The sequence below is a fragment of the Homo sapiens genome, chromosome 18 (assembly GCF_000001405.40).
Source record: "Homo sapiens chromosome 18, GRCh38.p14 Primary Assembly".
NCBI lineage: Eukaryota > Metazoa > Chordata > Mammalia > Primates > Hominidae > Homo > Homo sapiens.
In genome coordinates this window covers 48706564-48729450 of record NC_000018.10, presented here as the reverse complement: position 1 = coordinate 48729450, position 22887 = coordinate 48706564, and the positions used below count along the sequence as shown (strand labels likewise).

The following is a 22887-nucleotide window of genomic DNA, read 5'->3' as shown; positions in this document are numbered from 1 at the left end:
TTTGGGTTATTTTCCCACCTAAGCAAGGAAGCCTTCTCTGTCAGTGTCTGACAGATGCAAGGATTTCAATACGCTTCCAATTAAAGCCCAAACTTTTTATAATCATTGAGATTATAGAGTTTAAGGGAAAATAATTACATGTGTGAGTGTGTGTCTGTGTGTGTGGTAGTGGTGGTGGGGGGAACGTGGGTGTGTATCTTGGAAAGTTTCCTTTTCCCAGAACTATCTGCTGGACCCCCTGGGTAAGAGGGGTGTTCCAAAGTTCTGGCAACAGCATCCCCTGGCTTCAAATCTTCCCCAGGCAGGAAGCGTCTTCACTGATGCCCCACCATGGAGAGGGGCCATGGGCAGGAAGGATGGAAGCGCAGAGGGGAGGACAGGATGAGGAGGGCATTTGTAGAGAGGTTTGAAGTTGAATCAGAACACACAAAAACCCTCAACCCATTCAAAGCTACCGGTGAGTTTCACTAGATCATTTAAAGTGGGGGGAAAAAGCAATGGTACAGGAAGGAACTCAAAACAGATAAAGGTGGCTCCCAGTGGTCCCCACCTCCTGACACTCAAACTCTTGTTTAGTCCCTTGCCACATCACGGTTAGTCTGTGACCAATGGAATATGGCAGAAGGGATGGTATGTTGCTTTGAGACCAGGTTACAAAAGATCCAACAGCTTATCTCTCTCTTTCCTTCTCTCTCTCTCTCTCTCTCTCTCACTCTCCCCCTCCCTCCTTCACAGGCCACTCACTCTGTCATGAGCACCCTACAGAGAGGCCCACGTTGCAAGGAAATGAAGCCTCCAGCCAACAGCCAGTGAGGAGCCAAGGCCTGCCAGCAACCACATCCGTGAGCTGGGAAGTGGCTCTTCCAGTCCCATCTGAGTCAAGTGTCAGATGACCGCAATCCTGGCCAACAGCCTGACCACAATCTCACGAGAGACCCTGAGCCAGAACTCCCCAGCTATATAGCTTCTGGATGCTTGACCGTCATAAACTGTGTGAGATCATAAGTGCTTATTTTAAGCTGCTAAATTTGGGGAGTAATTTGTTACACAGCAAGAGATAACTAATACAGCTTTGGGTACTTGGAAGTAGGGTGCTGCCATAGTGAAACTCTGCAATGTGAGAGTGGCTTTGGTACTGGGCAGTGGGCCGGAGCCAGAAGCATTCTGGGGTGATTCTTAGTGAAAACTTCAAATGCCATGAAGAGACCACTGGTAGAAATATGGACTTTGAGGAGACTGGTGATGGGGGCTTTAAGGGAGGTGAAAAATATATTATTGGGAATTAGAGGAAGGAGGATTTTTATTATGTAGCCCCAAAATGTTTAGCAACATTGTCTCCTACAGATATGTGAAAAGCAGAAAATGTACTTAATGACTTGCATTATCTAAGGAAGAAGTTTTTAGCCAGGGTCCTGCAGGGGCTGCCTGGTTTCTTCTTGCTAGGTAAAATGTGAGAAGAGAGAGACAAGTTAAAAGAAGGGCTGTCACAATAAAAAAAAATCCAGGACTTGCTAGTTTTGAAGAGTCCCAGACTGTCCAGATGGCAAATGATGCTAAAATTAGGAAATGACTTCTGCGTAAAGATCAAATCCAGGCACTCTCAGGAAAGCATAGTCCAAAGATGAGGTGGAGGGTGTGGCTATGAAGTCTTTGTCAAGATCTTAGAAAGTTCAGCGGTGCTGCCTCAGAGTACTATTCAGTCAGACCAAAAGCTCTGTAAAGATTTTAAGAGATGTTAAAGATCTTCTCAGTCAAACAACAGAGCTTCTAAGAAGCTTAAGGGCATTGTCCCTCAGCAGAAGCCCAGCGGAGAGAAGGGATGGTCTTGAAGAGATGTGTGGGTGGGCTTTTATTTGGTGGAACAGACTCAATAGGATCACAGAAGACCCATAAAGTTTTTCAAAGGATTATTTCAGTGGAAACACAACAACTTGGACTGGAAGGGAGAGACACAGTACAAAATATAAAGAAGCTCTTGGACCTCCCAAATTCTACCAGCAGGAAGCTATCTGAGCAACAAATCAGCTGCAAAGACATGCTACCTTTCATAGAAAAGGAAGGATGACTCAGAGGCAGAACCAAGAGCCCAGAGTATTCACTGGGCTCATGACTTGCTGCAATCTCATGAAAGACCCTGAATGCAGAGGGCGGAGACAGCCTTGTAGAATAATTCCTGGGCAGGAACAGAACTGAGTTCTAATCAAGAAACTTCCAATATCTGCCTGGCTGGATTTCAGAACTGCTATGGACCAACAATGTCTATGTGCTTCTTGTTTCCCCTCTTCTTGAATAAGTGTATCTAAGGCTGTTACCCTATGCCTGTCCCACAATTGTATGTTGGCTACGTGTGTGTGTGTGTGTGTGTGTGTGTGTGTGTGTGCAGCTAACTTGCCTCCTTAAATCTCAGGCCTACAGATCAAGAGTGAACTGTACCTGAGGTGCTGTACTTAAGGAGATACACCCAAAGAGCGTCATCTGCATCTGAACATGATCTAGATGATGAGACTTTGGACTTGGAGCTGATGCTATAATCAAATGAGACATTGGGAGGGGTGAGACTATTTTGCATGTGAGTCACTGGGAATGAGAGGGTGGGTTGTGGTAGTCAGCCTCTAAGATTGTCCCCAGTGATCCCCACTTTATGGAATTTATATCCCTGTAAAGTCCCCTCCCACACTGTACCAAGGTTAGTCTATGTGACCAACAGAATATGGTAGAATATGGCATGTCACTTCCAAGATTAGGTTACAAAGCATACTGCAGCTTCGATCTTGGTGTCTGTCTGTCTGCTTGTCTTCCTGTCTGTCTCTCTTGGATCATACTCTGGGACAAGTCAGCTGCTATGTCATGAACAGCCCTATGAAGAGGTCCACCTTGTGACCAACAGCTAATGAGAAACTGAGAACTGCCAACCACCTTGTGAAGGAGGCTGTTCTCCAACTGCTTGGGCTTTCTCCAGCCCCAGTCATGCCTTCAGATGCCTACACCCCTGGCTGACAGTTTGACTACACTCTCAAGGGTGACTTTGAGCTAGGACAACCCTGTTAAACTGCTCCTGGATTCCTGACCCTTGGAAACTGGGTGACATAATAAATATTTGTTGTTTTAAACTCTACGTCTTGGAGAAATTTGTTACACAGCAATAGATAACCCCAATACAAACGTCCAAGCCAAGCTCCATTTCCAGCAAATTATCATTGGAAATGATGATTAGCAGAGTCCTAAAGCAATCACATGCACACGTACATATCCACAACTATAAACATAAACCGAACATGTGTGATTCAAACACAAATATAGGCAATAAGTCCTCAGGTTTGTGTTGCCCTTGGCATTTTACCTCCTTTCTGAGCATCACCTCATTTGAACTGCAGAACACTCTTACAAGGTGGATATCGTATTTTATAGTTGAGCAACATGCCTCAAAGAGGTGAAGGGATGTCTTGAGGCTACATATCTAGTGACAGGACTCGAATGAAGTCTAGGCAACTCAGCATTCTCAAAGGACCACCTACACATTAGGCTGGAATAAGGGCCCTGGTGTGGCTCCTGTGATATGACCTCCAGGCAACAAAGTCAGAGGCAAAATGTGGGTTTGCCTCAAGTGGGATGGTTTTAGGCTCTTAGGAGCAAAAAAATCTGCCTTGAAATAACATGACATATACCCACCCTCACCTACCTCCCACACGTGGGAGCTTCTCAGTGTGCCAGAAACTAAATCATTCTCTTAACTCTGGGTAATCACTGAAGGCTCAAGTGAAAATGCAAAGTAACATGCCCTGGGTTACCATTAAGGGTAGATCAACCACTGACACACCAGTTCACAAAACGGGATGCAGGAGCAGTAAATCTGGGGTCAAAAGGGGCCGCATGAGAGTAGAGGAAGGTGGGAGCTCCTCCTCATTCTCACCCTAAGGGGGTGGTGGGAAGGCAGAAGGTGGCTGTCCTTGACTGCTTGTAGAGTAAGGAAGCACAGTCAAAATACACCGGGGCTGTCTCCCGGAAAGGGCGCCGAGGCTCCCCTGCCATCCTAGGAGGGGCGTTGGGACAGGAATTGGGATGGTGGAGCCTTGGGAGGGAATTGGCCTTTGTGTGCTCTGCCTAAAGAGGCCCTGATGATCACTGTTCCTACCCTACCCCTGACTGAGCACCGCCAGCCCTCCTGAATATCAGGGCACAGTCAGAATCCTGCCCTCTAAGTGTCTCACCCCAGCCTCCGCCCAGCCTCTTTGCACCGTGGCTGCAGCTCACAGCTCAAAGGCAGCAAGCTTCCTGCTCAGGGTGACCAGGCCGAGCCATCTGCTCCCTGACATGCAGAGCCAGTCTGGAACACGTGTTTGCTGTGGCCACACAGACCACCAGACCAAACATGCACACCACCCCAGAACACATTTTCTCTTTCTAAAAACATTTCTCATCTTTGTTTCAAGTTCACACATGTCTTTTCTTGAGTTCAATGTCAGTCCTGACAAGTAATAAGCCTAAAATTAGATCTTTTGTCCACCAAATCCTCCCCTTGAAGCTGAAAGACAGAGTTCAAAGCCAACACAAGGGCAGTCGTATTCCTGCAGGCGGGTGTCAATGCAGATAATGTGGGCTCCAGGCAGCAGCTTCTGTTTTGGGCTCCTCTATCCACCTGCTGAGGTGACTCAGGATCCCGGGGCTTGCCCTCCAGACATGAATGAATGTGTGTGCTGGATGCTCTCCGGCCCTCTGCCCTTCCCTAAGTCCCTCAGTGGCCGCACCTGCTTCAGGTGAGCCCAGGAGCTCACACACAGCAGGGAAAGCTCTCAGTCTGTGTCAGGCTGGACCCCGCCCAGCAGCTGTAGGGAAGGTCAGGGAAGAGGATCAAGGGAGGATGAATGAGGCCATGAATAGTAAGGGGTGGAGGAGTAGGAAGGAGTCAGCAGAACCTGCAGAATCAGAGGAGGCCAGCAGGAACAAGAGGCAAGGGAGAGGGACTGAGGTACAGGGGCTGGTCAGTGTTGGGAGCAGGACAGAGACAGGCCTGTTCAAAGAACAGCGAGAAGACTGGGGTCTGGAGAGCACAGCGAGTGAAGACAGTGGGTGGGAGGGTAGGTGGGGACAGAGCTGAGGGCAGGTGGAGCAGGCCATCTACAAGGAGCAGGGGGTCAGGGAGCGCGAACCAGTTGAGGATTCCAAAGGCCTATTTGAAAGGTTAGAAGCTGTTTGATAATGCCATCCCACAAGTTGTTGGTGAGTCTGTGTCCACCTACAAGGGGGACCTAAATCCTGGTGCCCAGGCTGTTCATCTGTCCAGGCCTACTTGGAAAGAATGGGCAACCCCATCCAGCCCATAATTTGAAGGGCATTGAAATCCCTGCAGGTGCTTAGAGACATGGAGAAGGTGGCATATGCTGCTGCTACAGAGATGACTACACCAAGCACCCAGGGGACAACTTCATCTTAATTTCCCCCGTGGGTGCTAAGTACAGGCATCGCCTCTGGGAACTTGAGGGCCTATCTTCTTGAGCTATTTTATTTCTGTTTGCTGGTGTCTTGCCTAATTGAGTCCCTGCATCACTTTTGGAAACCAAGGCCTCCCAAAATATTCCAAACTGTAATAGAGGCCACCTTGGCTTCCCCAAAACACATGCATTGGAATAAATGGCTATAATTAAATTACTGGGAAGACTCAGAAATAACTCTTGGAGTTCAGGGTAAATGCCGACCCAGGAGGAAAGCTCCTTGGTATTTTTAAAACCTGTGCCCCTGTCTCTCCTGGGGAGCCCTGAGGAGTGAAAGGCACCCTCATGCTCTGGGTTTGTCCTCTTGGGAGTCAGGGGAGCCAACAGCTGGAGGAAGCTCTCCTCTGGCCGGGCTGCCTCCCCACCCCCTGAGCTGCCCACCACTCCAGAACTCACAGAACTTTCCCTCTGGGTGCTCATCGAGTGGGGTCCCCACAATCTGGGAAATCCCTGGTCAGTTTCGAGGGCTTCCTAAATATGTCTATTCATGAATCATCCAGACAAGGAAAGTAATCTATGGGCAGGACTGACCTAGTGCAGGTGGGGAGAAGGTGGGAGGGTGGGTGACCCTGTCTGAGGGTCTCATCTGAAATCTCATCATTCATTCATTCATTCATTCATTCATCCCTTTGAATGAGGCAGCAGCCCTCCCCTAGTCCATTTGACATGACAGCCCCCTCACCCCAAAGAGGACCATGCCGTCTTTAGCTCCCCGTGCATGTGAGTTGATCAGGTGGTTAACAGGGGGAGTATGTAGGAGGCAGCCAGGGAGGGGCCCAGCAGACGGAAGCTGAGTCTGCAGATGGGGAAGGAGGGGGTCCCAGAGCAGTGGGTTGTTAGCAGCACACGCCTGGAAGCCAGGCTGCTTGTGTCGCTTCACTTTTCTGGACTAGTGACTTTCCTCATCTGTAAATTGGAAATAAAAATAGCATCTCCTTCCTAAGGTCATTGGGAAGACTATATGAGCTAAAGGGTGCCCTGAATACAGTGAGTGCTCTGGAAGTGCTTGTGAATTGCTGAGTGACATCCAGGCTTGGCAGAGGGTGGGCCAGGCTTGCCTGGGAGTCTAGCGAAAAAGACCCTCAGAACCAGTGGGATGCACAGCCTGCTACATCAATGAGTACAGCCAAGTGCTTACACCTATGAGCGCCGATGGGTATGGCCGGGTGCTTACACCTGTGAGCGCCGATGGGCACAGCCGTGTGCTTACACCTGTGAGCGCTGATGGGTACGGCCGGGTGCTTACACCTGTGAGCGCTGATGGGTACGGCTGGGTGCTTACACCTGTGAGCGCTGATGGGTACGGCCGGGTGCTTACACCTGTGAGTGCCGATGAGTACGGCCGGGTGCTTACACCTGTGAGCACCAACAGGTATGGCTGGGTACTTACACCTGTGAATCTTGCGGTCCTGGGCAGCATACGATCTCAAGAGGACAGAGAGGCTGGGTGCTGTGGCTCATGCCCTTAATCCTAGCACTGTGGGAGGCTGAGGTGAGAGGATTGCTTGAGGCCAGGGGTTCAAGACCAGCTTAGGCAACATGGCAAAACCCTGTCTCTATAAAATAAAAAATAAAAAATTTAGCCAAGTGTGGTGGCACGTGCCTGTGGTCCCAGTTACTTGGGAGGCTGAGGTGGGAGGATCACTTGAGCCCAGCAGGTCGAGGCTGTCGTGAGCTATAATTGTGCCACTGCAACTCCAGCCTGGACAACAGAGTGAGATCCTGTCTCACAAAAAAAAAAAAAAAAAAAAAAAAGCACAGGGCCAGGAGTATGAGGCTTAGCCTAGTATGACTGTGTGCCAGATCTGGGGAAGGAAAAATATACACAGGGGCAGCAGGCATGGCTGCCTTTCTAGAACCTTCTGGACAGGGCACATGGGCTGAGCTGAAGATACACGAGACACTGGTTATTTGCACTGAAAGCCCTGGCCAGCCTCCAACATGTCTTTCAGAACTGTCTTTCCCATCCCATGGTTAAGGAATGGAATATCCCTGAGAAGTGTCCCTTTTCATCTTCACCTCGCACTCTCTCTAATACATTGTAGAGCTGAAATCAGAGCCCTATTTTATAGCTGAGAAACTGTGTACCCTTAAAGTGTAAGAGAATTGCTCTGAACCACACCACAAGTATGAAAATCCAGATTCCATGACTTCTGGTCCAGTGTTCTTTTCTTCCTGCACAGGAGTGAGTGTCAGGACAGAGAGGGGGGGATGCACGTTCTCTGAGGTTAGACTCAGAGCCGCACACAGGGTCAGGACTTCCCTCGTATCTGCCATCACATGGCATCTAATGGCATCCCTGTAGTCTGCACAATGGTGTCCTTGGGGACATAAGAAGAATGGTTTGTCCAGGGCCCAAGATCCCCTGGCTGGTGAGAGATGAGCTCGTCTTGAAGCCAGTGAGCCTCGCCCTGGGCCTGGGCTGCCCACCAGACACACTGTCCCCGGGGAGGGCTGGGCTGGCTTGGTGCCAGAGGCCAGGTTGCTTGGGGCTCCGGAGAGGAATGAAGGGTTGGGTGTTAGTGTTTGTGAGCCAATCCTCAAATGCCTAGCATTTCAGTAGAGACTAGACCTCTGAGGAGGAATGAAACCAGCTTGGGTGGCTGGTTCCCAAGGCGTCCATTCTACGTCCCATCCTAGACGCAGACCTTGGGGAAATGGCATTTATCTCTCCAGGGCCAGTTTCTCAGGGAGCAGCCCTCCTGTCCTGCAGGTAACTAGACATGTGCCCCTACGTCCTCTTCAGTCACCTTTCTTGTCATTGGGTCTCCCTTTGCTATTTAGGGCTTAAGGGGTCTGAAGGAATTCTAATTGCTGGGGAAAAGGGGATTATTGTGATCGAGAAAGAGTAGTACTCTGCTCTCCAACTGTGGGCACAGAACTAGGGGATGCCCACTGCCTGGTGGGCACAGGGGGTTCCAGGGCTCTGCCAAAATGAGCTGTAGGCAACCTCTTTTCTTACCCATTTGTCCCCCGCGTGGATGTGGGTCCCGATGGGAGAGAACCCCCAGAGCCTTGTATTCCCATGAAGTGTGATGCTGGGAGGAAGTCCTGAGCATGGGGATCGGGGGAAGGTATATCCCTCATGGGTGAGTTGTGGGCCAGCCTCAACAGGGCCACTCTCTGCAGCTTGTTCTGCCCAGGAGTGCGGCCTGAGGCAGCTGCACTGTGCAAAGGATTATTGGGACCATCATGATTTGTACAAAGCGTGGGGCTTTCTCTGGGTGTATCAGGGGCTCCATTTCAATCAAGCATGGACCTGGACATCTGGCTTGAAGAAATGAGCTGCTCTTCTTTTCAAGAGAGAGCCTGCTTGGGGGTGGGCGTGAGGGAGGAGGAGAAGGATCCTAAAAATAATTCTTATCTGACTCATTTTGCTTAGAATCTGACAGGGCTGCCTGCCAGGTGGGGGTTTGCCTGTCCCATTTTCTTATCTATCTTTAGCAGGGACTTAATGAGGGCAATTTCCTTGCTGGGATGGAAAGACAAACCGTGGGCAAAGTGAGCATAGATCTGTCTCGCGGTCCCTGGGCTCGGATGACAGGATGGCAATGACAGTCACTGCAGGGCTGAGCTGTCTGCGAGGGCCTCAGCAACAGTGGCATCCCAGCATGGTGCAAATGAAGCAGTGATAGGCTCAGTCAAACCATGCAGGACAATGACCACTGGAAGAAGCATCCCCCCCGTCCCCATCTCATCCCCTAGCGAAGCTACCACCACACACGAACAAGATAAATCACTCAGACCTAAGATCCTGTTGCCTACAACATACTTCTTTATCTTCAGCATCTCTCTACTCTGTTTTAAAGAGCAAGTACGGTCACTTCTCATTATTTATGGTAGTTGCATTCCATAAAGTTGCTGCAAATACTGAATTAGTGAATACTGAACTATTACTCCTAGGGGAAATGCGGGGTTTGGTTCCTGCAAGCCTCTGGTCACAACATTTTCACCACTGGATCAATACATAACCTCGTTTTGTATGTGTTTCTGTTTAAAGAAACCTTATTTAATACATATTGTTGATTTATTAACATTGAACTCACGGCCAACAGCACTATAACTCATGCCTGAGTGATGCTTATCTAACACACACATTTTCTCCGGAAGGCACATCACAGCCTCCTTGCGCTTAAGAACAGTAGACGGCACTTCAGTACTATGTTTAGGAGCCATTTAAAATAGCAAATTCACCAAGGAAAAGCACAAAAATGTGAAAAACATGGCAGTAAACAGAACCATGAGAAGGGTGCTTGCTTATACTATGAGAGCTGAAACAAGGAGGCAGAGTGTTACTTTGGCCTGGACTGGGATCTTGCAGGTCAGGCAACTCAAATTTTTCACTGTTTGTGTGTCAATGACTGACTGCAAAAACACCATGAGTATTGAGTGCGGTGTTACAAATAAGTTTTACAAGTAGGCGAATGTGCAAATATGAATCAATGAGTAATAAGGATGGACTGCACTTCCAAAAGAGCTATCTTAACAACTCATGTGAATGAGCTGATGTATAGATATAGGACTCCGACTAGGTTAATTCCTCATCAGTTCCCGGTGGGCAAGATCTGGGGGACCTGGTCATTTTTGTAGGATGTGGGACTCTATGACTGGTAGAGTGTTCTGAGGTGCTAAAAGGAGCAGCAAGTTCCAGATAGCAGCTGTGACTTAAAGAGAGGGATGTCGAGAGGCACTTGGTATCCCCCAGAGTCCTTGCCCATGAGCCCACATGTGAAAAGGAATGTGGGGCCTCCTGTAGTCACAGATGACCATCAAAGCCTGGGATACAGAAGCCACAGCAGTGTCAAGGAATGGGGCTTAAAAATATTAAAGACAATTCTAGAAGCATATTTTCGTATTGAGAGTGAGAAGTCAGAGGGACACATGAGGCTACTGATGGGGCAGACAGCGTAGAATTAAGAGGTGGCAAAAAGAAAGCAGACCTCTCCCACTCCAAGTTTGCCTTCTGCAAGAGAACAGGTACCAGCCCAGAAAAGGCAGCTGCAGTTGCCGCATCTGTCAGACGCTGAGGGCCTGGAAGACTCCACGGAGAGCAATGGGTGCTCTGAGTGCTCACCTTCATGCCTCGGGAATGGGGCGATATTGATATTGATTGGAGTAAAAGAAATCTTTACATGAGGTCATAAATGGCCCCTGACCATGTCTGAGGAATCCTGGAGAACAGATATAAGGGTTAATTTCATGTCAACCTGACTGGGCTAGGGGGTGCCCAGTTAGCTGGTAAGACATTATTTCTAGGTGTGTCTATGAGGACATTTTCAGTCAGTAGACTGAGTAAAGATCTCTCTCCCAGTGTGGATGGGCACCATCCAATCCGCCAAGGGCCCAAACAGAACAAAAGGCAGAGGAGGGGTGACTTCACTCCCTCTTCTTGAGTGGCGACATCCATCTTCTCCTGCCCTTGGACATCCCATGCTGTAACACATGGTATGCTTACGGTCACGCTGGGAACCTCATACATGCTCCTGTTTCTTGGCCTTCGGACTTGGGTTGATTACACCACTGGCTTTCCTGGTTCTCTAGCTTGCAGCAGATGGCAGACTGTGGGACTTCTTGGCCTCCATAATCTCATGAGCCAATTCCCATGATACATCTCTCTCTCTTCCTCTCAATATATCCTATCAGTTCTGTTTCTCTGGAAAACTCTGAATAATGCAACAAAAGTGTTAGAGACTGTAGCTAGGTATACACAGTCTAATTTTCAAAAATTGGAAAAATATGGATATCATTTCTCCAAAAGAGATTGCCAAACAGATGGTTTGGAAGAAAAAAGGTGACCACTAATAGCTAGCACAGGTTCACACAGACCAAGTCATGGCCAGACCAAATCTATGTCCTTTTTTGAAACAGTTACTAGCCTGACACATTTAGGGAACCCTGAAAATATCAAGGTTGAAGAGGTAGCTGGGTATGGTGGCTTGTGTCTATAATCCCAGCTACTTGGAAGGTTGACGGGAGAGGAGCACTTGAGGCCAGGAGTTTGAGACCAGTCTGGGCAACATAGCAAGACTCCATCGCTACCAATCAATCAAGCAATAAAAATAAAATTAGTCAGGTGTGGTGGCGGGTGCCTATAGTCCCTAGAACTACTCAAGAGGCTGAGGCAGGAGGATTGCTTGAGGCCAGGAGTTCAAGGCTGCAATGAACTATTATTGCACTACTGTACTCCAGCCTGGGTGACAGAGCAAGACCCTGTTGCTAAAAAAAATTTTGAAGGGGTGTTTCAAGAGGCTTGCCACATCACTTCATCCTGGGACCTGCCTTATTCTTTAAATTTTTTTTAATTGAGATATAATTCACACAGTACAAAATTCACTCCTTTAAAGTATATAATTGAGTGCTTTTTAGTCTATTCACAAAGTTCCATATGTCCTGTTTGTTTTTATCAGTGACTTAGATGATGTTACAGAGAGCTTGAAAAATCCAATCTGATGACTGACACTTAGGGTCTGGGTTCACGTTGGCAGAGGAAGAGAGGGAGGGACAAAATTCTTATTATTTATTTATTTATTTATTTATTTATTTATTTATTTATTTATTTTTTAAAGACAGATTTTCGCTCTTGTTGCCCAGGCTGGAGTGCAATGGCGTGATCTCGGCTCACTGCAACCTCCGCCTCCCAGGTTCAGGCAATTCTCCTGCCTCAGCCTCCCGAGTAACTGGGATTATAGGCTGCACCACCACGCTCGGCTAATTTTGTATTTTTAGTAGAGACGGGGTTTCTCCATGTTGATCAGGCTAGTCTCAAACCCCTGAACCTCAGGTGATCTGCCCGTCTCAGCCTCCCAAAGTGCTGGGATTATAGGCATGAGCCTCCACGCCCGGCCCCAAAATTCTTAATTGGTTCTACATTTAGAAGACACCAAATCACAGTCACGGTCAATCGCAGGACAGAGGCAGCAAGCGCTGCTGTAGGCTGTGGCCACCCTGCAACGTCCAGCATGTGGCCCACTCCGCACGCCAGGTGGATGGCTCGCTCCCCTGCCTCTAGTCCTGCGGAGCCATCTGACACTAGCTGGGCTGGCTAAGGTCTTTTTCTCTTCTTCCTTTCAATCTGCTTTGCACATGGAGTAAATTAACCATTCCGAGACCTCACTTAATGAAACAAATTAATTTGGAGAATGGCTCTCTTGTCTCCCTGGCCGCACAGGCACGGTGCGATGGACCACTAATGCCTACATTAGCCACCTCTTCTGATGGTTAAGAGGCCGGGCTTTGGAGCCTGCAGGGTCTTCTGACATTGCTGACAGTCGGGCGGGATCATCTGGAGCTGGCAGGCTCCAGTGGCTTTTCCCTTCTATGTAGTTCAATTGGGGGTGGTGGCCGCTGTGAGCACCACCCACATGGCTCTGTTTCTAGGGAGCCATGTGGGGACGACTTCTGGGGATGTGGGGAATCCCTGGCTCCAGAGCCTGCTTAGATGCAGAGGAGCATTTAGAGGACACCAAGCCACAGTCACGGTCAATCACAGGACAGAGGCAGCAAGCACCGCTCCTCTCATCCCAACACCCTCCCATCTCCCAAATCCTCCTGGAGGTCTCACTAGTAGTTCAAGCCCCACCTCCTCCAGGAAGCATTCTGGAGCATCTCCCAGGATGGCTGCTTTCTCTAAGCCTCCTCCCTGTTAACACGTGGATGACTGACAGTCATGCACAGCGTTCTGGTTGCTTCTGGAGTCAAGGCACCATTGTGCAAGCTACAGCTCAGGCCCTCGAGAGCAGGGGCCACACCCTATACTTCCCGTATTCTCGGGCACAGCTTATGGCACAGGGTACAGCCCAACCAATCCCAGTAGGAGAACTGAACAGTGCTTCACTGCAGTGTCTGCTGTGATACACATTCAGGAGCGGGGCACTGCCTCCCGGCTGCTGGAAGTGCTGTGCAGACAGCCCTCAGCTGCCAACCCCTAGGACAACTGCTCTGGGCAAAGAGCGCAGCCCCGCCCAAGGTAACGCTCCCTTCCTTGGGCAGTCCCTGCCTGATGACCAACAGACATGGAGGTATCAAGGCCTGCCCCTTTACCCCATCTTGGGACAGCTCTTAAAGAGTCAGCCCAACTTCAGAACCTCCCCTACAGGCTCAGAACTCTCTAAGACTGCACTGCAGCCCAACTTCTCTCTGCTGATACCACTTCCTCTTTTGATCTTCTACCAGTATCAACACCAAAGGCATGCCTTTAAAAGCAGCTGCTGATAATCACTGTCCCAGAGCCTGCTTCCCAGGGAGCTCAGGCTACAACATCCATTCATTGCCTTAATGTGTTCATCTCTTAAATGCAGCCAGGGTGTGGTGGGGAGAGAAAATATCCTCCCCAGCGGTGAGGGACCTCACTCAGGGTCAACTTGGGCAGTGCGCCGGGTCTCCAGCCCTCTAGTGAGCTTGCTCTTCTGGTCTATGTGCTCTGGGCAGAAAGCTTTGAGAAAAGGGGGGGAACGAGCCTTAGCAGCCCCCGTTCCAAGCAACAGGTCTCCAACTTGCATGGGGCCAGAGCATCAGAAGGCATGCTGCTCTTTGAGGAACGCGTGGAACACTCATTTAGCACATTTATGTCACAAAATGCATAATTTTGTCTGAAATCAGCAAATGTCTTTTCTTAGCTTCCAAAAACAAACAAGTGGTTACTAGTTGTTCAAATGTCAAGAACATTCTTGAGGAAACCTTTGAACTGTCCATGAGCTTAATTTTTTTTTTTCAAAATGGAAAAAAGACATCCACAATTCACTAGACGCAGCCCATGGCATCAGGAGCAGAGTCTGCAGGTGACCACTCTGAAGGGGCCTCCTTCCCTGCTAGCCCAGGCTCTGCCCCCTCTGACAGTGTGGGTAGGGCTTTAAAAGTGGATCCAGGGGAAGGAACAATTGATCCTAGCGGCCCGCCCCTGGAGGGAATGCAGGGCAAGGCTTTCCGGGTTTGCTGCCACAATCACAGGACAAAAGCTCCCCGCTCACTGCAGACACCTGTGCTCCACACTTACCTTGAAAGCCTTCCTGAGCACCTAGGACCCCCTCTGACCTGCAGAGTGGGCCAACACTAAGACCGTGTTTCTAGGTGCTTTATTAGAATCAGCTCCTTTCAGCTCCCTGACTAGTGAACCCATTTTGTAGAAGAAGGGACAGGGCTTTCAAAAGTGATGTAATTGGCAAGATCATAGGGTGAGTGAGGAGAGGAGGTGGGATTCCCATCCAGCTCCTAATTCCAGGGCATGTCCCTAAACTGCTATATAATTCAGCTTGCTAACAGCCTCAGACTTAAACAAGTGGAAAATAAAAGCAGTAAGGCACACAAAAACCCCTGAGAGTGCAGCTGGAACTGGGATGGGACACAGACTTTGATGAAGCCTAGGACTTTAGGTCCCAGTCTGAAAATCCCTGCTCCAGGCTGTGGGAAATTGCATGCTCCTAGCTTCAGCAGCACGCTCATGCTGCCTGGAGTTTGCAGCTATCGGACACCAACTCCAGCCACTTTGCAGGAAGATGGAAAGCCACAGACTCCTCTCCATTCCAAGGAGAGCCACCAAGCCACCAGAGGGATACAGCTGGCCCCTTCCCTTCATATGGTGGGGGGAGATCAGAGGCATGGCACAGATGCTGGCTGTGCCCTTTGTCCACCAAATCTGATTCTGGTCACTTCTCCCTTTGCCACCATGCGTGCCCAGGAAATGCAAGCCCCTCCCAGTGTAGTTTAAGCCCAGAATATTAGGAAGGTGAACCTGCTGCACACAAGTATGGACTTCCAAGGTCAAATATGCAGGTTTGACACTTAGCAAGGCTACTACTATGGGTCATTAGCTGGGAAGGTTAGGGGTCACCTGATAATATTCTGCAGCGGCTCTTTGGGTGGCAGAATCCCACGATTTCCCAAAACAGACTCAGGAGACCCCTGCTTTTAGACAAAAAGGTCCTTAAACTATATGGCTGCCTGCTTTCCTCCTGAAAGTCCCCATCACCTGAGGACTCCACGACAGCTCCAGGCTGTGAGTGAGTAACGGATTCTACCGCATCTAGAAGAGGAATTAGAGCGGGGCGCCCCGACGAGCACACGCTCTGTGTTCAGGCATGGCTGCTGCTCTGACTTGCACAGTGTTGCCCCAAATGGTCAAGATGTTTGCTCCATAAGTCTGTCTTCGGTCTAGCTGAAAACTCTGTTCTTCCATCCAAGCTGACTTCCTCTAGTCTGGGTCCCTGTGGACATGGAGGCAGCGGCCCCTCATCTCTCCGTATAAATCTTTCATGAGTTTCACGGCACGATGTTCCTTCCCTCCGGCCTCCTCTTCCCTGGCCCCAGCCCTCCAGCACTCCTCACAGGACATACTTTCCACCCCTTTAATCATCTTTATTGCCTCACTTTGGACCCTGGCCCGTCCACATCCTTTGGGAGGTGTGCTGACCTAACCCGGACATTGGTGAATGTGAGCGCAGCTCAGCGGAAGCTCGGCTTCCCAGCCGTTGCATGCCGCGCTCCTCTTCCTACATCCCTGGGTCACGCTGCTGCTTTCCGGAGGCCTGCCACTGTCCAGGGTCTTCCTGCTGAGTGAGGTGACCTGGCCCAGAAATGGACATGCAGGCTGACCTGGATGCTGGGTGGCAGCCTGCCATTGCCTGGGCGCAGAGAGGTGGGGCAGAGGGTGACTTCTCATCAGGAAGCTCGGGGACTCTCCACACCTCCCAGACACACACTCTGGGTCTTCCCTGCCATCAGAGACTACAGGGCCAGAGGCAGAGGACATAAAGCCTTTGCTCTCTCTGACACCTCCCAGGCCCCTGTGAACCCTATTCCTCCTTGAGGGGTGCTGCCTCCTTCTTCCCTCTACCAGGAACCCAGAAACCAGGAATTTGCCTCTGTGATGCTGCACAGCAAAAAGGCAGCACACACGATGCGATAAACTGTACTCTGGTCAAGGCAGGAACAGGCCTGGGTCCACCTCTTCCTGCTCAGTGTTCCTTTTTGATGCCTGGTGCTTCTACAGAAAGTGTCTGGTGGTTCTGATTTCTAAGCCAGGACACTGCCTTCTTCCCAAGCTACTTATACATTTGCCATCCTCTGTGAATGTGTTCAGATCCACTTAATCCACCAGTGGATGACAAAGCAGTCTGGGCACCCAGGCCTACATCCACCCTGAGAGTTGCAGTCACCACCTAATAATCCCTATTCAGGGTGTGCATGCGTAGGGAAGGATCAGAGACCCTGGTCTCAGCCTAAGGAGGTGGCCAGCCAGCCTGAGCACAGGCGCCGCTAGGGTTCTGAGCAAGGCATGTCCACCGGCTGTTTCTTGGCCCTCAGAGAACATTCTCTGTTCATTAAAGGTAGAACCAAAAGCCGTCATCTTTATCTAAGAATATATTCCCTATAGAGGAACACCTCATTTTAATTCCTGAGGCATAAGCCTTTTTGTTCGTTCTTTTTTTGGTATTTCCATCCAGAAATAATTTATGCATGTTCAAGCAAAAAATATACTCTAACTCCCCCTTTTGCATAAATGACCACACATAAGAAACATTACTCTGCACCTGAATTTTTTCCACTTAAAATATATCTTGAAGATCTCCCCTTATAAGAAAGCCTTTTTGAAAATAAATGCACACATTCCCAGGATGCTCAATTTCAGCTGCATGTTCTTATCCAGGGCTACCTCATTGCCCCTTTCCTGGCCCCATTGTCACTCGGGAGTCTGAGCTCCACAGGAGATCTCGGTTTCTGCCTTAGTTTAAGTGGGTTCCCCCAGGAATTTGGGAGCAGTAGCATGTGCCATTGCTGATCTGTGTGTTGCCTGTGACAGCAGAGCCAGCACGCATGAGGGACAACCCCCAATGACCAGGGAGGAGGAAAACAGATACTCTTGCACTTGTGAGCTCCAGGAGCCTCCTGGAGGCCATGTCTCAAAACACACAGCCAGCCAGTCCTATTTTCTGAGGACCACTATTGTTGCTTTGAGGTCAGCGGAAACAGCATTTTTCCTCCTGAACTGCAAAGCCTGGTCACTGCCTGACCCCCAGGAAGAGGCAGTGGTGATGGTGGGCTCTCAGCCAAACGCCTGAAGGGAGCCAATCCCTAGGCCAACAAGAGAAGTGGAGCCGCCACTCTGCCCCTGGGGAATCCCCAGCCAGTAACCAACCCACGATGCCACCAACCCCATCTCATCAGGATCAGCTGGTGACTGGGAAAAGCGAAATGCAGGCCAAAGCTGACGTCGCTACAGATGGCAGAAGCAGGAAAGGAAAACCCAAAGCTCACGACGAAGTCTCTCCTACCTTCGATCATTTCTCCTCCTGCGGAACAGCTTCTTGGTGTGTGCGATCTCCACTTCATGGGGCATCGGGTGGTAGCCCTGTGTCATGGGGGGAGGAAGGGGGATCATTAGTAACTCCTGAAAGAGAGCAAAGCACCTCTGGGACTGCACTAAGTACACCAGCATCTAAGACAGAAAGACATCAAGAGTTTGGAGAGACTAGACTCTAACCACCAAATCCAGACTGAAAAAGGAAAAACAGTAGAGTCAATGAACTTCCTACCAGGCAGTGATGCTGGAATTACAGAATCAAAGAACAGTAGGGACAATGAGGACCTTAGAATCCATTATGTCCAAGTCCTTGAATTACAGATGAGACATTCAAATCTGGAAAGATGAACAAGCTGGTTCAAGGTTTTGCAGAAAATGAGCAACAGAGCTGGGGCCAGGTTCTGCAGCTCACTGGCTGTGCATCCCAGGACAAGTTACTTCTCTAAGCACAAGTTCCATAACACAATGGGAATGTTACCCTTCTTCTCTGGGCTGCTAGAGGACCAAGGAGGTGAAGCCTGAAAACCCTAAGCCCTGTGAAGAGGAAATTTGTCTCCTAAACCTAGTCCAGGCACCCCCAGTGAAATTTTTACCCAAGATCTTCTTTCCCTATATTGCCTAGGGAGTATTTAGGAAAACATGGAATTAGCTAAATTACTTTTTCAGCATTACTATCATCATTATTATTATTATTTGAGACAGGGTCTTGTTTTGTCATCCAGGCTGAAGAGCTGTGGTACAAACACGGCTCACTGCAGCCTTGACCTCCTGAGCTCAAGCAATCCTCCTTCCTCAGCCTCCCGTGTAGCCAGTATCATAGGCACACATCACCACGCCTGGCTTGTTTTTTGATTTTTTGCAGAGATGGGGTCTCACTTTGTTGCCCAGGCTCCTTTTTCAACTTTAAAGGAGGAACTGGGGAAAATTCTAAGGATAGTCTTTTGCGTATTGTCATCATGACAGCAACTATTTCTACATCTACATCAAGGTTGGAGAGAGACCCTCTATTTGCAACCCAGGGCAGATCCTGCAAATGCAGGATCACAGGCAGAGCTATTTGCACAAGCTGGGCTGATGGCCAGCTCTGCTCTTACCACCTCTTCCCATCCCTCCTCCAACAGAAAAGTGTGTTCTGGTGTGGACATGGCAGAGAGCACCACCATGCACTACCATTCCATTATGAGCGGCCTGGGGTGGAGTAGGGGGTACCAAGGCTTGGAGTCAAGTGGGAGGGAGTGGTCTGGCTTGGACCTGGGACACCTGGGTATAGGCCTGGATGCAGAGGCCATAGCCTGAGTGTGACTCCCACCCACCTGCAGCGACCTGAGCATGCGCTGGATGACAGGGAGCCACAGGGTCCAGGCTGCTGGAGAGCAGTCAGAGGGGGTCTATTCTGGCCCACTCCCCACCTTACAGGCAGGGAGCCCAAGGCCCAGAGTGGCCACACAGTGAGTTAGAGATCATAGTCCTGTGGGTTACACCCTGTGGTGGGGCACATGCAGCCCTCGGGATTCAGGTTCCATAAAGGAGGGTCCCACTGTTTTGCCTTCACGGGGCTCAGCCCCCAAGCTCATGGGGGAAACTGACCACCCTGGCTATGCTGGGACTGGCCAGTTTTGGGGAGCTTCCCAGAGAGGTAATGGGAGAACAACAGACTCAGGAGGACACAGGGACCTTGGAGTTATGGCCACTTGGCCTGGACTGGATTGAGTGCAGGGAGGGAGCAACACATTTCAAAATACATTTTAATAACAATCCTTTCCTCTCACCCCCGTCTCTCTTGCCTCCAACAATCTAGCCAAGAAAGCATGAATGAATTCCGGGCTCCAGGCAGCCACAATAGGCCTCTGGGGCCTTAGGATGTGCTTTGTTTAATGGTTTTCTCAAAGGATATTATTTGTTTTCTTTAATACAAAACACAAATAAGGAAAAACACCAAGTCTTCCCCTCTCGTTTCCCCTCTCCCACCCTGACTAGGCTCTGGGCTGGCCCCCTTCCCTCTTTCCCTCCCTCCCTGCCTCTCCAGGTCACTTCAGGAACACACCGGGTGTGCCCCAAGGAGACAATGGACAGGAAGCCGAGGCTCCCTACCGGCGGCGGCAGGGACTAGGATCTCGGCTCTGAGGCCGGGCAGAGGGAACTGGCCATAGCCCCTAGTGTAACACGAGCCCAGGGGGTGCCAGCCTCCTCGGTGTGGGCCTCCAGCCCTGGGCTCTAACCTACCTCCTGGCCTCCTTACCTGCACACAGGCAGCAGCCATGGGGAGCTAACCCTGTCCCAAGACTCAGTGTGGCTCAATGGGGCATACCGGGCCACTCGGGGCTTCTCATGAAGCCACTGTTAGGTCCCCTGTGTCCACCCATCCATCCATCCCAGAACAACTCACATCTATGTAGTGTATGTGTATAAACCATGACAGTGGTTAGAGGCCTGTGCTCTAGAGTTAGACTGTGAATGTCAGATCCTGGCTCTTCCTCTTGATGGCTGTGTGACTTTGAGCAGATGACCTAACCTCTATGTGCCTCAGTTTCCATATCTGTAAAATGGAGATAATAGCATCTGGCTGCTAGAATCCTTGTGAGGATTAAATGAGTTCCGAAACATGTAAAGAACATAGGATAATGCTTGGTACATAGTAAGCCTCATTGTCATCATCACTGTCATCGATGCCATCATCATCATCATCATCGTTATCTTTCCTGTGATCCTGACACTCTGCTCAGGGCTGAGTGTGCCAGGACAAACAAGGCAGCACAGGCACCTGTCCTCATGGAGCCCCCAGCCTTGGAAAAGAGTCCAGCAGGAAGTGATTTGCAGGGAGGGAGGGCATGGGAAGCTCAGGCCATGGAAGGAAGACAGAATCTGCACAGTGCCTGGTGGTCCAGGGTGGTGTGCTGGGGGAGGATGGAGAAGCTCTATTTTATGCTGTTTTTGGCCTGGGGCTGGAAGACTATAGTGAGGCGAAAAATGAGTGGAACAAAGTGACAGAGGTGACAGAACAAAGCCTTGCACCCTCTGAGGTCCTCCCTCTCCAGGAACAATCCAGGCCAGGGCTATAGAGGGCTGGTCCTATGTATAAGGCCACCTGGGGCCTCAGCCTCAATGTGGCATCTAGGTGGATAAGTGAATGGACCTTACTGCCTTCCCTGGGGCCTTTTACATAGAACTTCCAGCACCGGGAACCTCCTCCTGCATGCAATGGGGGGCACTGTGTTGACACAAGCTCCATTGAGAACCCCTCAAAATCAGCCATCTTGTTCTTCAAACTCAAGATGGTAGCTGGTACCAAGAGACACATACAACTCAGGGTGCTGCCTACACTCCTCCCAAAACAAGAACACTTGGGTGTTAACAGGGGGCAAGTGTGAGGCCAGCAGAAGAAAGGAGAAAGTCTGTACTGAGTCACAAACCTGTCACCAGATGTGCAGCTCATGCAGGTTGGCAGAGCTTCTTTAAAGTCATTGGTGAGAGGTAAGGTAATATGTGAGTGGTCTGGGCAGCATTGTTCATAAGAGCCAAAACATGGCAACAACCTAGTGCCCGTCCACTGATGACTGGATAAATAAATTATGGTACATATATACAGTGGAGTATTATATGGCCATAAAGAGGAAGGAAGTTCTGAGCCACACTACAACATGAATGAACTTTGAAAACATCATGTTCAGGGAAAGAAGCTAGTTACAAAGGACCACGGAGTGCATGATTTCAGTTTTTAAGAAACGTCCATAATAGGCATATCTGCAGAGATGGAAAGTGGATCCGTGGTTGCCAGGGGCTGGGAAGGGGAAGAATGAAGAATGACTGCTAAGGGATGCTGCGTTCCTTCTGTGGTGATAACAACGTTCCAGAATTAGACAGTAGTGATCGTTGCACAACCTTGTGAATACCCTAAAAACCACTAAGCTGTATACTATGAGAGGGTGAATATCATGGTATGTAAATTATATCTCAATTAAAAAGGTAAAAAGTATCTGGGGGTGGTGTATTCCAGGTAGAGGGAATGGCATGTGTTCAGAGGAAGAAAAAAAGGAGAATGAGGAAGAGGAGAAGGAGGAGGAGGAAGAAAGGAGAAGGAAGAGGAGGAGAAGGGAAAGAGGAAGAAGAAGAAGAAGAGGAGGACAAGGAAAAGAAGGAGGAGGAGAAGAAGAGAAGATCAATCAAAATGAAAAGTGCCCCCCACCAGTTAATCTCAAGGAAACAGCTGCCCTAAAACATTATCTGTTAAGATGCGGCTGGAAAAGGTGGCATGTCCAAGACAAGTGGCACCCAATGACAGGAAGGACCAATACGTTCCTGAAATCTGGAAAAAGTATAAGTTGTTGCTTCTGGTGGCCTGGCCAGGGGAGATAGTATTCTGGCTTTAGACCAAAGACCTCTCCTTGCTTTTTAAAAAGGATAGATCCCTTGAATGGTAAATGGGAAATGTATCCTTTAAAAGCACATACAGTGGACTTTGCTTTAATTCTTTGCTCAGCAAATCCTTCTACTATGTGCTTTGAAAGGGCCCCATGTAGACATCAGTCCAGGTATAAGTATCCCCTCCACCTCCTGCACTCCCCACATGAGAGAACCAGCCCTTGGGTTTCCCAGCTGGCTTTTTGGCTGTCTGGTCTACCTGAGTCAGATGTGCCTCTGTAGCACACTGGGACTACCCACCAGGCCCTGCCTGCTTTTCCCCAACCTCTCTGCATGAGAACCATTCTCCCCTGAGCTCTGAGACCTGGCTGCAGTTCCCTGTCTGTCTAACATCTGACCACTTCCGGTAACTAAATGGGCCTGAGAGACAAGTAGATTATATAAACCAAGCCTCTCCAGGGATGGAGGGAAGCTAATACTCCTTCCACATGCAGCGCCGGCAGAGTACACGTGGAACACACACGTGCACATACACTCCTGTCCTGAGGTCAGTGCTTGCAGAAGACATGACACTGAGGGGCGGCATGTTATTGCTCTGGTTGCAAAAACATGTTATGTAAAATCAGCCCACTCCAGGGCAGGCTGAGGCTGGTATCTCACAACCCAGTGTGGTGGGTATTTCTGAGGGATTAAGGGCAGGCCCAGCAGAGCTCTGGCCCCAGAACATGAGCCCCAGATAGTTAA

General features: G+C 49.6%; 1 protein-coding gene across 24 annotated transcripts in view; it reads right to left on the bottom strand.

Moving 5' to 3' along the window:
- CTIF (cap binding complex dependent translation initiation factor) overlaps window positions 1-22887 on the bottom strand; it is a 324187-nt gene that overhangs the window by 133767 nt on the left and 167533 nt on the right. For all 24 annotated transcript variants that reach the window (XM_047437960.1, XM_047437965.1, XM_017026100.2 and 21 more), the window contains one exon: window positions 17756-17832. In XM_047437960.1, the coding sequence (XP_047293916.1) occupies window positions 17756-17832 (77 nt within the window). The remainder of the gene's footprint in view (window positions 1-17755; window positions 17833-22887) is intronic.